The 17,793-nt window shown below is 45.2% G+C and overlaps 1 long non-coding RNA gene and 1 pseudogene across 11 annotated transcripts in view, besides 4 other annotated features; both read right to left on the bottom strand.

Moving 5' to 3' along the window:
- Nucleotides 1–17,793, bottom strand: part of LOC124905213 (uncharacterized) — a 275,363-nt gene that overhangs the window by 122,669 nt on the left and 134,901 nt on the right. For 9 of the 11 annotated variants that reach the window (XR_007068324.1, XR_007068325.1, XR_007068316.1 and 6 more), the window contains one exon: nt 596–803. The exons of the other annotated variants lie outside the window; for them this stretch is intronic. This is a non-coding gene — a long non-coding RNA (uncharacterized LOC124905213). The remainder of the gene's footprint in view (nt 1–595; nt 804–17,793) is intronic. 11 annotated transcript variants of the gene reach the window in all.
- On the bottom strand, nt 6,786–9,674 carry TJAP1P1 (TJAP1 pseudogene 1; annotated as a pseudogene).
- Nucleotides 9,118–9,619: an enhancer, noted in NCBI's record as "H3K4me1 hESC enhancer chrX:128176833-128177334 (GRCh37/hg19 assembly coordinates)". NCBI's record gives its function as "activates a minimal SCP1, AML or CMV promoter by ChIP-STARR-seq in naive H9 embryonic stem cells {active_cell/tissue: H9 hESC(naive)}" and the evidence as "EXISTENCE:reporter gene assay evidence [ECO:0000049][PMID:30033119]".
- Nucleotides 9,620–10,119: an enhancer, noted in NCBI's record as "H3K4me1 hESC enhancer chrX:128177335-128177834 (GRCh37/hg19 assembly coordinates)". NCBI's record gives its function as "activates a minimal SCP1, AML or CMV promoter by ChIP-STARR-seq in naive H9 embryonic stem cells {active_cell/tissue: H9 hESC(naive)}" and the evidence as "EXISTENCE:reporter gene assay evidence [ECO:0000049][PMID:30033119]".
- Nucleotides 10,428–10,929: an enhancer, noted in NCBI's record as "H3K4me1 hESC enhancer chrX:128178143-128178644 (GRCh37/hg19 assembly coordinates)". NCBI's record gives its function as "activates a minimal SCP1, AML or CMV promoter by ChIP-STARR-seq in naive H9 embryonic stem cells {active_cell/tissue: H9 hESC(naive)}" and the evidence as "EXISTENCE:reporter gene assay evidence [ECO:0000049][PMID:30033119]".
- Nucleotides 10,930–11,429: an enhancer, noted in NCBI's record as "H3K4me1 hESC enhancer chrX:128178645-128179144 (GRCh37/hg19 assembly coordinates)". NCBI's record gives its function as "activates a minimal SCP1, AML or CMV promoter by ChIP-STARR-seq in naive H9 embryonic stem cells {active_cell/tissue: H9 hESC(naive)}" and the evidence as "EXISTENCE:reporter gene assay evidence [ECO:0000049][PMID:30033119]".

Below are 17,793 nucleotides of genomic sequence, written 5' to 3' on the forward strand. Positions count from 1 at the left end.
CAGCGATTGCCCTCAGTGTTGAAGGATACATTGCAGTCTTAAAGTTGAGAGCTAATGTCTACAGTTCCTTTCAGTATGTGTTCAGGCTACAGACCAACATGGGAATTCACACCAAGATATCCATGTCAGCCAGGGGACTAGGTCTATGCAGGAAATTCTGGAGAACAAACCACCTCAAACTCAGAAGTGCTGGATCCTTCAAAGTTCCCTGGACCCACCTACATACACAGCTGTGTGGACTGCAGACCACCCAACAGAAACATATACCTAATTGCAAGCTTTTCCCCACCTGTGAACCATAGAGGCAAGGATTCAAACCACAACCCCCGCCAAAACAGGGCAAATCTAACTCCTCAGCAACATACAGATACAAATTAAGATATTAAAGGCTAGATGAGAATCCTTAGGTTCCAAAGCCCTGTGTCATCTTTAGTCTAGAAGGAATAAGGGAGTCATTTTTGGCACCCATGATTCACTGAGGTGAAGACCACAATGAAGTCTCAAAGAAGTGCATGGACAGATAACTCCAGGACTAATTATATGAACTGGGAACCAACTGAGCTAATACCAGCCAAGTCTTCTTAACAGTGCTCACCTTGCTTACTATTGTATTTTGCCATCATCTACCAGGAAGGTGTTTCTTTCCTGCATCCCACCACGTTCATCTCCCTGGAATGTCTCTCATGGTGATGATGAACAAGTGTAATCCTTGGCAAGGCACATTCATAGCCAAGTTCATGTACAGGTAAAAATGTGTGGACTCACAAATCCACAGAGGATAGACTATAAGAGGAAGTTAGCTCCTATAATAAAAGACATCACATGTCAATGATTAGAAGAGAAACAGTGTCAGCAAAATGAGAGGTCCCTAATGTTTCACCAGACAAACACAGTGACCTCCTTTCCTTTTCAAATGAATGTTATCAGTACCACTTTTAAATAACCTTTTGGAAGTTTGTTAACTAATGTCTATTTCTTGCACTTTGCTGAGTATCACAGCGCTTCACCTTTTCTAGCTGAAGATTACAAAAATACCCATCCCCCACTATCAGGAGACAATGCTTGCAACAGAATCTTAGCTTATACTCATGTATAAAAGACAGCCTGCAATTTTGACGCAAGGATCTAGAGTGTAGTGTGGCCCAGCCTCTAGCTAGTGAATAGTTCTCTACATCTTTCACATAATACACTTCTTATAAACAGTAAAGAATTAAATATTCTGAGTCCCCACTCTTTTTTACCACTACAACTTCAAGAAAATTAAGAAAGCTACATTTTATGCACACCTGAGTTTAAGACCGAGATTCATTGCTGCCGCAGGTGCATACGAACAGCATTTCTAAAGTTGGAAGCATGGGGCAATTCCTACTGGCGGCTTCTATGGGAACCAGGCTACCAAGTCTAAAGAAAGCAAGGTGAGAAAGGAGAGCCAAGACAGAAACCCAAGGGGTGTCTGAAAACACAGATGCACACATAGCAAGGCACAGTGCAGGCAGTGAGAGTGCAGGAGGAGCCTGAAAGGTTTAATTCCCTGAGCCAATGAATACAGTGCATTTTTAGCTGCTTTCTGCAGACCTGAGCAGGGAAGGCCTGAGACTTGGGATTGCTTTGGACATGCCTTTCAAAAATCTGTTTAACATTAACAGGGGTGGGAAAACTGATTCTTTATTAATAAAAACAGTCATTTAATAATTTACTTTCACTGTGAAGCTATTTTAACAGCATGTTTCCTGCTAGTCTTCATTCATGTTCTCCATTTTTCTTTTGCAAACTTCTGAGCCAAACAATTTCCTGGGAGTCACACTAAAGGATTTTAAAGTTTAATTAATGAATCTTTTGCTGTTATTATCAGCACTATGCCATACATTATTAGGTGTCAAAATTAGGTGTCAAAATTTCAACTGATTTGGACTGTAAAGTGAGTTTGTGGTAGTGTTGTTTGTTTGGTTTTTCTTTTTAATTTTCACTTGAGGATGTTATCAGTTTTGGAAAGCGCAGAACCAATTTACACGTCACTAGTTCCGTGAAGTCGTGTATGGAAACCTGAGTAAACTGGCACGATATTGCTAGTTTATTCCAATAATGTTTTAGGGCCCATCTAGATTGGCACTGTGGAAATCCTTCCAGCTGGCTGCCTCTTAATTGGCTCACTGGCTGACTGGCCTGGGTGGGAAAAGAATGCTCCATGAGCTTAAGGGTGGACACATCTCCCAGATTGGCCTTATGAAAAAAAACCACTACATTTTCTGGCATATTTCTGCAGTGGGAGGCAAGTGTCCATGACTGCTCCTGTAACTGGTGCTTGTCTCAGTGGACCACATGCTGGAATTGACAGTGGCATTACCATATGCTCAGCACCTCCCTAAATCTGAATTCTGGCCCCTATACATGTAGTGGTACTTCGTGAGAGGAGGAGATGGAGTCACTCAGGCATGGGAGTGAAGGGCAGGTTTGCCATGGAAGAAAGGAGGGAAAGAAGGCAGTGGGTGTGCATAGAGGAAGTGGGTTACAGTAGATAGGAGGACTTAGCGCCAAAAGCAAATTAATTCCACCTGATCCATTCAATCTAGGCACTGATTGTAACTTTCACCTGTCCTCTGTCATTTTTCAGTGATACTTTGACATTCTCAGCAAGGAGAGGGGCATGAGCAGAAGCTGCTGCCTAGTCCCTACTCCCACCCCGCTCCTTAGTGATGACATTATCTGAATCCCTCCACCCAATTCTTTCACAGCCTGGAAATAATCTCAAGTCTCTAAGAGAAATGAAAATCAGATCTCTCTCTGGAAAAGTTCAGGAATTTTGTATAAAGGCCAGGGAATGGGGCATTAATCCTAGGTGGTTAAATGAACTGTTAAAACAAATTGGGCTTTTGGGCTTATTATTGGCCTAGTCCAAGACACAGTACTTAGTACTTGGGGACAGAAAATATATATATGTGAAGCATGAAACACGGTCATATGCTAGAAGTTGTGAGAAACTCCTCATGGATACTTTTGTCTTATGTATGTGGTCCCCAAGACAAATAAAGAAGAGATGATTCTAAAGAGGAAAGGGAGGGTGATTTGAATCTTCTAATTCAGTGTTCTCAACCAGAATGATCTTATCCCCCTTGGGACATTTGGCAATGTCTAGAGATGTTGTTGGTTGTCACAACTGGGGGGTGCCACTGGCACCCAGTTAAGACGGGCCACTAGGCTAAGCACTCTACAATGCACAGGACAGCCACCACCACAAGGAATTATTTGGCACAAAATGTCAATAGCATCGAAGCTGACAAACCCTGGACCACAGCAATGGTTCTCACACTTCAATGGGCATCAGAATCACCTAGAGGATTTCTTAAAAACAGTGCAGGGGCCGGGCACGGTGGCTCATGCCTGTAATCCCAGCACTTTGGGAGGTCGAGGTGGGCGGATCACGAGGTTAGGAGACCAGCCTGATCAACATGGTGAACCCTGTCTCTGCTAAAAACACAAAATATTATCCAGGCGTGGTGGCGCACGACCGTAATCCCAGCTACTCAGGAGGCTGAGGCAGGAGAATCACTTGAACAGAGGATGGGGAGGTTGCAGTGAGCCGAGATCGCGCCACTGCACTCCAGCCTGGGTGACAGAGTGAGACTCCGTCTAAAAAAACAAAAAACAAACAACAACAAAAAACAGTGCCGGATCCCACTCCACTTTCCAATTCAGTAGATAGGGGTAGAGTCTGAGAATCTGCATTTCTAACAAGTTCCCAGGTGACACCAGGGCTGATGTTCTGAGGAGCATACTTTTGAGAACCCCTGCCCTAGTTCTTCCCCCGAGTTGCCCTTTAAATTATCCCCCTGCTTGAGAATGTGGTTAGACCGACCTTAGCCTGGAGCGTTGATGCTATCACAAAGGAGGAAGCAAGAAGCTCCCTTTTAAGCAAGGAGACTTCCCAGAGACTTAATTAAAGTTTGGGAAAATATCCCAGGAAGTGGGGGTGGGAGGGGGTCAATAAAATTGATCCAAATAAATTCTTTGCACATACAAAATAAAACTCACATGCACAAAAAGAAATTTGATCAATAAATTAGTAAATTCAGAGTGAGGAGGGAGTAATTAACAGGCCCATTTAAAGTGTGGAATACATTAAATAAAGAATGAGTGACTCCACCGGGACTACTGAAGCAGGAAACACCGATGCGTTTGAGAGGCCTGGAAGATTGGAAACATATTTCAACAAGGAGAAAAGAGGAGAGAGAATGGAGAGCCCAGAATGATGAAGATGCTGGGTGGGGGTGGGGACGGAGGTGGGGGTGGGGGTTGGGGGAGGGATATGTATCAGAGCCTTGGGAGCCTTGGATTTTGAACTCCTACAAAGTTTAACAAAATTGCAGCTTTGCTCTGGTGTATCTCCCGGGCATAGGAAACTTTTAAGTAACCTGCTGCAAGAGCTATTCAAGCCACACCTGGTCTTGAGCAGTTAATATGTCGAGTCTCTTTATATTGGAGTAAACGAAAGGTTTAATCCCAAGTCATTTGGAGCATAGCAAAACCTTATTGATTGAGAACAATCCCAGGGTTATCTTGGGCACCTTGCCAATCTACAAGATCCCCTGCCAGAAAAACTGAGGCAAAGCGGACTCCACTACCAGTTTAAGCCAGAGTGGAGGACCATATAGACCATGGTTGAGGGAAGTAAAGTTGAGACAATTCACTATTGAAGGCAAATAAAAAGCTGTCCTATTTCATATAGACACTCACATACTAAACATTTTCCCCAAAGGGTGGGACATGAAGGAAACCAAATGTATGACTCATGGCAGAGCCATAATTGTATAAATTGCTGCTAAGATAATCCAAGTTATACCTAACTTTTAGGCTCTCAATAAATGTTCGATAGCTTGCTTTGAGCTTGATTTCAGGGTCCAGTTCCCCATTTCACCCCCAAAAGAGTCCCTGGGGGGAACCTGTTGGCAACTTGGCAATGGAAAGCTAAACTGGATCAGCCGTGAATATGAATCATTGTAATAATTCCTTTATATGTGGCGAAGAACAAGACCGTGGCCAATAACTGCATCAGCAAGAAGCAGAACTCTTCTCTGCCTCTGTCATACCCCCTGAGACCTCTGAAATTTAAGTACTAGTTTATCATATAATGGTGCTCAGTCTGGCTCCATGCATTTCACTCTGGATTTGTGAAGGGCTGGAAGGTGATTTTTGCTTTCATTAGAGCCGTGGTCCCCTGAGACCATTAAGAAGACTCTTTCCAAGCCTGGGGAACATAACTCTAGTACCAAGCCCACAGTGCAATTCAGAAAACCTTAAAGCAGGTGTCTTCAAATATCTCTGAGCCTCATTTTCCTCACAGGTATATTAGGACCCAGCTTAGCCTTAGTGAAGCAGGTGAGAGGTTGCTATGTTTAAAGCTGCTTCCTCTGTTTTTTAATTTCCCGCTGCCATTTTCAATCAGGCCTTCCTCATTAGCTGGATGGGAAAGTTTGCAGAGCCAAACCTGCAGCAGATTCCCTCAGGCGGTGTTTTAGTTCTAGTGCTTCCCCAGGCTTTAGGCATAAAAGCGCCTCCCAGGGTGAGGTGACTTGCCACACATTTGGCTGACACCTGCCTATGAAGAGAGACGTCTGAAACCACTTTCCCAGAGCAGCCCTGAAGCAGTCAAGTCAGTGAAGTCTTTAGCAGGCTTTCTTCCTAGTCAGACACAGATCCCGATGCACAGCCCGAGGATGAATTCTTAGTCTAGTAAGCACTTCCAACCTGTTGGTCGAGCCTTTGCTGTCACCACGTGTGGCTTACATACCTCTCAAAATGTGAGGTCAGTTAAAAGGCATAAAGCTGCAAAGTCTCAGACTCTAAGAGGGAGCAGGCCATGCAGTCTAAACTCCATTTAGACTGCAGCATCCCAGATAAAGAGGCATCCCACCTTGGAACACCTCTACTGGGAGGAAGCTCAGCACCCCACGAGGCAGCCTCTTCCACTGTTGAACAGATCTAATAATTAAAAGCCCATCCTTTTACCTAATCTCCATCTGCCTCCCAATGTTTCCTGTGGAGCTACATGGAATATGTCTGCTGATCCTGCTACCTGATGTTATTTCCGTTGTGTGCTGTGTCTTAGCAATTATACCAGATGGTTTGTGAGGGCATGGACCATGTCTCCTGCTTCTTATGCATCACTATAGTGTTGGTGACCAGCTCTAAAATTACTGGGTAGTGTTCTTAGTTGTGCTCAGTCTCTTCATTTGTGATCATTGTTTCTTCCCAAGCCCGCCCTGTGAAGCCTGAATTATGCTGATTCTAACTTTACCCTTCAGCTCATACCAGGGCACTATCATCCAGGGGTAAAGTTCATGGGCATGCTTGAGAAATGCCCACAGTAATGAAAACAATCTGCTCAAACTCCACATCATTCTTCCAACATACATGTGCATGTGTGCACACACACACACCACCACCACCAGTCTTTGTATCTAGGTGAATGCAAACACAAATGAATTTTAAGGGCATCCTTGAAGGGGGAAACAAATATCAAATACAATATGGAGTCCGAGGAGGGTGAGTGAAAAAGAGGAAGTGACAGCATATTACACTTCTTGCCTTAGGGTATTACCAGCACAACAGCAGCCAGCATCTCTCTCCCGGAGCCATTTGTATCTGTGAGTCAGGTAGAAAGTGCAGCAACGTGGATCCCACCTGTGGGAGGCAACCTCCGTCTCCTGGGTTCAAGCAATTCTTCTGCCTCAGACTCCTGAGTAGCTGGGATTACAGGCATGCACCACCATGCCCGGCTAATTTTTTAAACCAGCAAAATAGTTTGATTTTAAAATAGTCATCAATGTGAAAATTTCGGCCAGGCACGGTGGCTCACACCTGTAATCCCAGCACTTTGAGAGGCCGAGGTGGGTGGATCACGAGGTCAGGAGATGGAGACCATCCTGGCTAACACGGTGAAACCCTGTCTCTACTAAAAAAAAGAACAAAAAAAGTAGCCGGGAGTGGTGGCGGGCACCTGTAGTCCCAGCTACTCAGGAGGCTGAGGCAGGAGAATGGCATGAACCCGGGAGGCGGCGCTTGCAGTGAGCCAAGTTTGCACCACCGCACTCCAGCCTGGGCGAAACAGCGAGACTCCATCTCAAGGAAAAAAAAAAAAAGTAAAATTTCCTAAAGCTGGGAGTAACAGTCTAGAGCCAAGGTTGGGGGGAGGGGGGCAGGCCTCACCCAGAGCCCAGCTTGAGGACCCTGAACCCCACCTTCCCTTCCAGAGGGAGGGAAGAAACAGCTGAGGAGAGCCCTCAGTCAGTCCTCTCCCTCCTCCCTGAGGCCAGCTGTGCCAAGGCCCCTTGAGGCCAACAGCCCATGCAAAGAATTGGGGGGAAGGGAGACAGGTAAGAAACAGAAATTAGAGGTTAATAACTCCAACAACACCCACCCCCAAGAAAACAAAATAACAAACTTGACTATGAAAGGAGGATGGAAGATGAATACTGATAAACTCCTCAGCTCCCCAGAACAGCTCAGTTTGGGCTGGGTTGGGCTGATTGGAGGAAAGCTCTTGAGACCCAACTGCATGTTACCTCTGGAGAATAAGTATTCTAAGAAAAGGGGAAAACCATGAGGCAAGCCTCTGTGTCACAGTCAACGCAGCTGACAGGCCTGGTGCAGCCCACCGCCCAACCCCACTCACACAGGGAACAGCTGTGCAGGTCTGGATAGAGAAGAGGTCAAGGGCTTGGACTGGGGACCCTGAGCTGCCAAGGTGTGGGGCCTCCTTGCAGTCCCGGTGCAGCAATGGCAGGAAGGCCAGCAGAGGCCCTAGTAGAGCTGGTTGCCCTGCTGCTGGGCCTGCGTCAGGCTGTCCTTGCAGTGCAGGTGGTGAACCCCCATTCTTTTGGGGCTGCACTGGGGGTGGCTGGAGCTGGGGAGTGGCCAGGCCCTGCGCTCAGTGTGGGAAGTGCCAGGACCCTCCTCTGTGACACTGTTAATGAGCAGCAGGCTCTGGCGCTCTTCCTCAGGGCGGATGGGCAGGTTCAGCTCTTCTTCCTCCTCCCTGGGAAAGCCAGAGTCAGGTTCTGTGGGAAGCAAAAGCCCACTCTCTTTGGTTCGGGGAGAAGGTGCCTGGACCACCTAATCTCTGTCAGCGGAGTTATGGGCAAAACGGTGCTGCAGCTCAGGGAGGGTGTCACTCTTAAAGGCTGTGACCTGGGCCACAGCAGCAGGTGGCAGAGTATGGTCCACAAATGCCCACTGCCAGCTGACCAGCAGGTCCTTTTCAGAGCTAACAGACCTGGCTGGGGCACTGAGTGTTGGGAGCACTGAGCTGGGCTGGTGGTTGAGTGAGGCCTAGGCTGAGGCAGGGGCACTGAGCACTGGGCTGGGGCAGGCCCACTCACTCCCTTCCCCCACCAGGCTCAGCGAAATGGCCTGGCGGGTGGTGTAAGTGCAGTTGGGCAGGGGGCTGTTGCAGGGGATCCAAACTTTATCCTTGGAGAACTCTATTACCCTGCAGCCAGGATACAGTGGGAGTGGTGGAGATGGGGTGGGGTAGGGGCTCAGCTTCTCAAAGGCTGGCAGGGGCAGCTCTTCCTCTGGGGAGCCCCCAGCAGTATCCAGAGAGTGACACTCCCCATTGGGTTGGGGGGTGGGGCTGCCAGGGGCCGGGGGACTGGCTGGATCGCCTGGGGCACCCTCACTGATGTCCACATGCACAAAGACATCTTCAGCCATAGGGTGCCCAGCGCTGCCTGACCGGGCTGAATTCAGCAGTAGAGACTCTGGCTTCTCTAACACTCGGGCAATGACCAAAGTAGGCACAACAGCCGCTGGGGCTAGGCTGGGAGCAGGACCCGGGCTGGCGGCCTCTTGTCCACTATGCAGATGTTTCTGAACCATGTCGTGTAGCTCACAGGACAGATCGGAGAACTCATAGTTTCGGAAGTGGGACTGGCTGCACTTGAGGAGCTGCACAGCCAGGTTGCAATCCCCCTGGTACCGCTCGCTGAGCTCCTCCAGCTTGTTGATGGTGTTCTTGGCATCCAGCAGCTTGTTGGTCAGCTCCACGATCTCCCAGTCCAGCGTCTGCCTATCCATCTCAGCCTTCTTGAGCAGTGTGTGCAGCTTGTCCTCCAACTCCTGGTTGGTCTGCTGGGAAGCCATGTAGCTGTTCTGCAGCCTGCAGAACTTATCCTTAAAACTTGTCCAGCTCCTTGCGGCTCTGGCGCAGCTCCAGCTCTAGGCAGTCCTGCCCAATTTCCAGCTTACATTCCAGGACCTCAGTGCATCTCGTGGCCGAGGCCAGGCACCGACAAAGCTCTTCATTATCCTGCTGCGAGAGCTTCATCCTTTCCAAGTCAGTCAGGGATTCCTCCTGCTCAAACCTGGATCCAGGAATTTCCAGTCGCAGCTCCCAATGCTCTGGTGGTGCCTTACGGTAGGGTTTCTTAGCAGGGGCTGCACTGGTTATTCTGGGAGGTGACACCTCCTCCACCTGCGACTGTTGTCAGCAGCTCTCTCTGTTCCACCATCCGGGAGTTAGCCCCCAGCTCTCCGCATCCCACGGCCCCTCCACTTCCTTTAGCCAACAGCTCTTTCTACCACTGCCAGCTGCGTTCAGGCCACCATCTCGCTGTGGGGCAGGCCGCATAGGAGCCAGGGCTGCGGGAATCCCCATGCACTTGGCACCTGGCGTCATCGGGGGTGGGGCCCCTTTGTAATTGTTAAACATATTTATGTTTTGTCTCCTCCTGCAGACTGCAGTCTCCTCAAAGGCAGGGACTGTGATGGTGATACTTCTGCATTTACTTCAAGGCCTAGTATAAAAAGGGGCACACGGCTAGGGCTTACTTAAATAAACGTTTGGTTTAGAAACATCTAGAACTGAAGACTAGCAGTGAGTCAGGTAGACAGCTTAACCTAAGATCCTTACATTATTAAGACTTTTTTGGAACACTTACTAATTGCAAAGTATGCATCATCAGAGTGTGATGGAAACCCTTGGCAAAAGATGCCCAAATCCTCTTTTCTTGCAAACCCAAGACACACAACCTATTGCTCACTATGCTGTTTTTCACACACAAAGCTCCACCTGGGCACATCATGGTGGTCTCTTATCAGTGTGGCCCCTGTGAGCTGTGTCTCCAGCAGTGGGGATGGGTTTGGCTGAGCCATCCACAATCCTATACTTGGGTCACAATATTTGTGAATATTACAGGTGAAGCTAGAAGCATAGCTTGGAGAGAAATGCCCACCTTCCACAGAAACCATGCAAAGTTCTCTTGAAGAATCGCCTGGTTTCTAAGGGCCTTCCTATAGCAAGAAGGAAATGAACACATTTTGTAAGAGAGTTTTTGTATATGACTGGCATGATAGTGTGACAAGTCCTGATAAGACCTCCTCAAGCATCATGAGGATCTGTGTGTACAGAACATGGCTCCCAAGCACATGAAGTAAGTGGGATAGGCAACGATCTGTGTACTGCGAACATGCCTCGAGGACTTTTGTACATCCTCTACCTGGTCTGGTCTCTTCCTCCCACCCCTCATTACTAGGTCCTTCTCAGTTTTCAGGCCTCAGCCTAAATGTCACCATCTCCAAGAGATCTATAAGAAAAGCTCCCTTAGTGCCAGACAGTGGGCGCAAGTCAGTGGGTGCAGCGCACCCTGCGCAAGCCGAAGCAGGACGAGGCATCCCCTCACCCGGGAAGTGCAAGGGATCAGGAAGTTCCCTTTCCTAGTCAAAGAAAGGGGTGACAGACGGCACCTGGAAAATCGGGTCACTCCCACCCGAATACTGCGCTTTTCCGACAGGCTTAAAAAACGGCGCACCAGGAGATTATATCCTGCACCTGGCTTGGAGGGTCCTACACCCACGGAGTCTCGCTGATTGCTAGCACAGCAGTCTGAGATCAAACTGCAAGGCGGCAGTGAGGCTGGGGGAGGGGCGTCTGCCATTGCCCAGGCTTGCTTAGGTAAACAAAGCAGCTGGGAAGCTCCAACTGGGTGGAGCAAACCACAGCTCAAGGAGGCCTGCCTGCCTCTGTAGGATCCACCTCTGGGGGCAGGGCACAGACAAACAAAAAGACAGCAGTAACCTCTGCAGACTTAAATGTCCCTGTCTGACAGCTTTGAAGAGAGCAGTGGTTCTCCCAGCATGCAGCTGGAGATCTGAGAACAGGCAGACTGCCTCCTCAAGTGGGTCCCTGACCCCTGACCCCTGAGCAGCCTAACTGGGAGGCACCCCCCAGTAGGGGCAGACTGACACGTCACACGGCCGGGTACTCCTCTGAGACAAAACTTCCAGAGGAATGAGCAGACAGCAGCATTCACGGTTCACGAAAAACCACGGTTCTGCAGACACCGCTGCTGATACCCAGGCAAACAGGGTCTGGAGTGGACCTCTAGCAAACTCCAACAGACCTGCAGCTGAGGGTCCTGTCTGTTAGAAGGAAAACTAACAAACAGAAAGGACATCCACACCAAAAACCCATCTGTACATCACCATGATGAAAGACCAAAAGTAGATAAAACCACAAAGATGGGGAAAAAACAGAGCAGAAAAACTGGAAACTCTAAACAGCAGAGTGCCTCTCCTCCTCCAAAGGAATGCAGGTCCTCACCAGCAATGGAACAAAGCTGGACGGAGAATGACTTTGACGAGTTGAGAGAAGAAGGCTTCAGACGATCAAACTACAAGCTATAGGAGGAAATTCAAACCAAAGGCAAAGAAGTGAAAAACTTTGAAAAAAATTTAGACGAATGTATAACTAGAATAACCAATACAGAGAAGTGCTTAAAGGAGCTGATGGAGCTGAAAGCCAAGGCTCGAGAACTACGTGAAGAATGCACAAGCCTCAGGAGCCGACGCGATCAACTGCAAGAAAGGGTATCAGCGATGGAAGATGAAATGATGAAATGAAGAGAGAAGGGAAGTTTAGAGGAAAAAGAATAAAAAGAAACAAACAAAGCCTCCAAGAAATATGGGACTATGTGAAAAGACCAAATCTACGTCTGATTGGTGTACCTGAAAGGGATGGGGAGAATGGAACCAAGGTGGAAAACACTCTGCAGGATATTATCCAGGAGAACCTGCAGGATATTATCCAGGAGAACTTACCCAATCTAGCAAGGCAGGCCAACATTCAGATTCAGGAAATACAGAGAACGCCACAAAGATACTCCTCGAGAAGAGCAACTCCAAGACACATAATTGTCAGATTCACCAAAGTGGAAATGAAGGAAAAAATGTTAAGGGCAGCCAGAGAGAAAGGTCGGGTTACCCTCAAAGGGAAGCCCATCAGACTAACAGCAGATCTCTCGGCAGAAACTCTACAAGCCAGAAGAGAGTGGGGGCCAATATTCAACATTCTTAAAGAAAAGAATTTTCAACCCAGAATTTCATATCCAGCCAAACTAAGCTTCATAAGTGAAGGAGAAATAAAATACTTTACAGACAAGCAAATGCTGAGAGATTTTGTCACCACCAGGCCTGCCCTAAAAGAGCTCCTGAAGGAAGCACTAAACATGGAAAGGAACAACCAGTACCAGCCACTGCAAAATCATGCCAAAATGTAAAGACCATTGAGACTAGGAAGAAACTGCATCAACTAACGAGCAAAATAAGCAGCTAATATCATAATGACAGGATCAAATTCACACATAACAATATTAACTTTAAATGTAAATGGACTAAATGCTCCAATTAAAAGACACAGACTGGCAAATTGGATAAAGAGTCAAGACCCATCAGTGTGTTCTATTCAGGAAACCCATCTCACATGCAGAGACACATATAGGCTCAAAATAAAAGGATGGAGGAAGATCTACCAAGCAAATGGAAAACAAAAAAAGGCAGGGGTTGCAATCCTAGTCTCTGATAAAACAGACTTTAAACCAACAAAGATCAAAAGAGACAAAGAAGGCCATTACATAATGGTAAAAGGATCAATTCAACAAGAAGAGCTAACTATCCTAAATATATATGCACCCAATACAGGAGGACCCAGATTCATAAAAGCAAGTCCTGAGTGACCTACAAAGAGACTTAGACTCCCACACATTAATAATGGGAGACTTTAACACCCCACTGTCAACATTAGACAGATCAATGAGACAGAAAGTCAACAAGGATACCCAGGAATTGAACTCAGCTCTGCACCAAGCGGACCTAATAGACATCTACAGAACTCTCCACCCCAAATCAACAGAATATACATTTTTTTCAGCACCACACCACACCTATTCCAAAATTGACCACATACTTGGAAGTAAAGCTCTCCTCAGCAAATGTAAAAGAACAGAAATTATAACAAACTATCTCTCAGACCACAGTGCAATCAAACTAGAACTCAGGATTAAGAAACTCACTCAAAACCGCTCAACTATATGGAAACTGAACAACCTGCTCCTGAATGACTACTGGGTACATAACGAAATGAAGGCAGAAATAAAGATGTTCTTTGAAACCAACAAGAACAAAGACACAACATACCAGAATCTCTGGGACACATTCAAAGCAGTGTGTAGAGGGAAATTTATAGCACTAAATGCCCACAAGAGAAAGCAGGAAAGATCCAAAACTGACACCCTAACATCACAATTAAAAGAACTAGAAAAGCAAGAGCAAACACATTCAAAAGCTAGCAGAAGGCAAGAAATAACTAAAATCAGAGCAGAATTGAAGGAAATAGAGACACAAAAAACCCTCCAAAAAATTAATGAATCCAGGAGCTGGTTTTTTGAAAGGATCAACAAAATTGATAGACCACTAGCAAGACTAATAAAGAAGAAAAGAGAGAAGAATCAAATAGATGCAATAAAAAATGATAAAGGGGATATCACCACCGATCCCACAGAAATACAAACTACCATCAGGGAATACTACAAACACCTCTTCGCAAATAAATTAGAAAATCTAGAAGAAATGGATAAATTCCTCAACACATACACTCTCCCAAGACTAAACCAGGAAGAAGTTGAATCTCTGAATAGACCAATAACAGGATCTGAAATTGTGGCAATAATCAATAGCTTACCAACCAAAAAGAGTCCAGGACCAGATGGATTCACAGCCGAATTCTACCAGAGGTACAAGGAGGAACAGGTACCATTCCTTCTGAAACTATTCCAATCAATAGAAAAAGAGGGAATCCTCCCTAACTCATTTTATGAGGCCAGCATCATCGTGATACCAAAGCCTGGCAGAGACACAACCAAAAAAGAGAATTTTAGACCAATATCCTTGATGAACATTGATGCAAAAATCCTCAATAAAATACTGGCAAAACGAATCCAGCAGCACATCAAAAAGCTTATCCACCATGATCAAGTGGGCTTCATCCCTGAGATGCAAGGCTGGCTCAATATATGCAAATCAATAAATGTAATGCAGCATATAAACAGAACCAAAGACAAAAACCACATGATTATCTCAATAGATGCAGAAAAGGCCTTTGACTAAATTCAACAACCCTTCATGCTAAAAACTCTCAATAAATTAGGTATTGATGGGACGTATTTCAAAATAATAAGAGCTATCTATGACAAACCCACAGCCAATATCATACTGAATGGGCAAAAACTGGAAGCATTCCCTTTGAAAACTGGCACAAGACAGGGATGCCCTCTCTCACCACTCCTATTCAACATAGTGTTGGAAGTTCTGGCCAGGGCAATCAGGCAGGAGAAGGAAATAAAGGGTATTCAATTAGGAAAAGAGGAAGTCAAATTGTCCCTGTTTGCAGACGACATGATTGTATAGCTAGAAAACCCCATTGTCTCAGCCCAAAATCTCCTTAAGCTGATAAGCAACTTCAGCAAAGGCTCAGGATACAAAATCAATGTACAAAAATCACAAGCATTCTTATACACCAACAACAGACAAACAGAGAGCCAAATCATGAGTGAACTCCCATTCACAATTGCTTCAAAGAGAATAAAATACCTAGGAATCCAACTTACAAGGGATGTGAAGGACCTCTTCAAGGAGAACTACAAACCACTGCTCAAGGAAATAAAAGAGGATACAAACAAATGGAAGAACATTCCATGCTCATGGGTAGGAAGAATCAATATCGTGAAAATGGCCATACTGCCCAAGGTAATTTACAGATTCAATGCCATCCCCATCAAGCTACCAATGCCTTTCTTCACGGATTTGGAAAAAACTACTTTAAAGTTCATATGGAACCAAAAAAGAGCCCGCATCACCAAGTCAATCCTAAGCCAAAAGAACAAAGCTGGAGGCATCACACTACCTGACTTCAAACTATACTACAAGGCTACAGTAACCAAAACAGCATGGTACTGGTACCAAAACAGAGATATAGATCAATGGAACAGAACAGAGCCCTCAGAAATAACGCCGCATATCTACAACTATCTGATCTTTGACAAACCTGAGAAAAACAAGCAATGGGGAAAGGATTCCCTATTTAATAAATGGTGCTGGGAAAACTGGCTAGCCATATGTAGAAAGCTGAAACTGGATCCCTTCCTTACACCTTATACAAAAATCAATTCAAGATGGATTAAAGAGTTAAACGTTAGACCTAAAACCATAAAAACCCTAGAAGAAAACCTAGGCATTACCATTCAGGACATAGGCATGGGCAAGGACTTCACGTCTAAAACACCAAAAGCAATGGCAACAAAAGACAAAACTGACAAATGGGATCTAATTAAACTCAAGAGCTTCTGCACAGCAAAAGAAACTACCATCAGAGTAAACAGGCAACCTAGAAAATGGGAGAAAATTTTCGCAACCTATTCATCTGACAAAGGGCTAATACCCAGAATCTACAATGAACTCAAACAAATTTACAAGGAGAAAACAAACAACCCCATCAAAAAGTGGGTGAAGGACATGAACAGACACTTCTCAAAAGAAGACATTTATGCAGCCAAAAGACACATGAAAAAATGCTCATCATCACTGGCCATCAGAGAAATGCAAATCAAAACCACAATGAGATACCATCTCACACCAGTTAGAATGGCAATCATTAAAAGGTCAGGAAACAACAGGTGCTGGAGAGGATGTGGAGAAATAGGAACACTTTTACACTGTTGGTGGGACTGTAAACTAGTTCAACCATTGTGGAAGGCAGTGTGGCGATTCCTCAGGGATCTAGAACTGGAAATACCATTTGACCCAGCCATCCCATTACTGGGTATATACCCAAAGGACTATAAATCATGCTGCTATAAAGACACATGACACGTATGTTTATTGCAGCATTATTCACAATAGCAAAGAGTTGGAACCAACCCAAATGTCCAACAATGATAGACTGGATTAAGAAAATGTGGCACATATACACCATGGAATACTATGCAGCCATAAAAAATGATGGGTTCATGTCCTTTGTAGGGACATGGATGAAATTGGAAATCATCATTCTCAGTAAACTATCGCAAGAACAAAAAACCAAACACCGCATATCCTCACTCATAGGTGGGAATTGAACAATGAGATCACATGGACACAGGACGGGGAATATCACACTCTGGGGACTGTTGTGGGGTGGGGGGAGGGGGGAGGGATAGCATCGGGAGATATACCTAATGCTAGATGACGAGTTTGTGGGTGTAGCACACCAGCATGGCGCATGTATACATATTTAACTAACCTGCACAATGTGCACATGTACCCTAAAACTTAAAGTATAATAAAAAAAATTTAAAAAAAGAAGTTTTAAATCCTGCTGCTCTGATAACATCCAAGTGTTTATTAATTTTTGTTTAATATACTACTATGGACATACCTCAAAAAAAAAAAAAAGAAAATGTGGCACATATACACCATGGAATACTATGCAGCCATAAAAAATGATGAGTTCATGTCCTTTGTAGGGACATGGATGAAGTTGGAAATCATCATTCTCAGTAAACTATCGCAAGAACAAAAAACCAAACACCACATATTCTCACTCATAGGTGGGAATTGAACAATGAGAACACACGGACACAGGAAGGGGAACATCACACTCTGGGGACTGCTGTGGGGTGGGGGGAGGGGGGAGGGATAGCATTGGGACATATACCTAATGCTAGTTGACGAGTTAGTGGGTGCAGCACACCAGCATGTCACATGTATACATATGTAACTAACCTGCACATTGTGCACATGTACCCTAAAACTTAAAGTATAATAACAATAATAATAAAAAAAGAAAAGCTCCCTTACCAACATTCCTCATTTCCACTTGCTTTCACAGCATTTCCCATAATTTGTAATTTTAAAGATATATTTATTAACTCATTTTGTCTGTATCACCATACTTAGAGTTCAATAAACTCCAGTGAAGACAAGGCCATCCATGCCTGTTTCACTCACCTACTATATCCCGCACAGGACTTGGCACAGCTAGTACTCCAAAAATTCTTGGAATAAAGTATTATAAGACCATGTGACAGAGCAGAAAACACAGAGAATTTCAAGTCAGCTGAGCTGGGCTCCAGTTGTAGTGTGGTCATTTCCTAGCTGTGTGATGTCAGACAAATCACTTAACCTCTCTGAGCCTCATTTTTCTCATTCTTATCTGAATTAATATCACCCACCTCACAGTGCTTCTTAGGGGGGGGAAATAAAATAATTAATGAAAAAGTATTTGGTAGAGTCCTGAACAGACATGAATTATTTTGGTATTATGAAAGATGCCTGAAATAGTACCCGTGCTTTGTCTCTAGGATGCCCTAGAAGCACCTGAAAACTGTACCATCAGTCACACCTTTGGATCAATGCTATGGAAGACACATACTACATTGAAAACTATTGTGTACCTTTAATATGGGCATTTGACCTTATCATTCACCT

Source organism: Homo sapiens, chromosome X (assembly GCF_000001405.40).
Source record: "Homo sapiens chromosome X, GRCh38.p14 Primary Assembly".
NCBI lineage: Eukaryota > Metazoa > Chordata > Mammalia > Primates > Hominidae > Homo > Homo sapiens.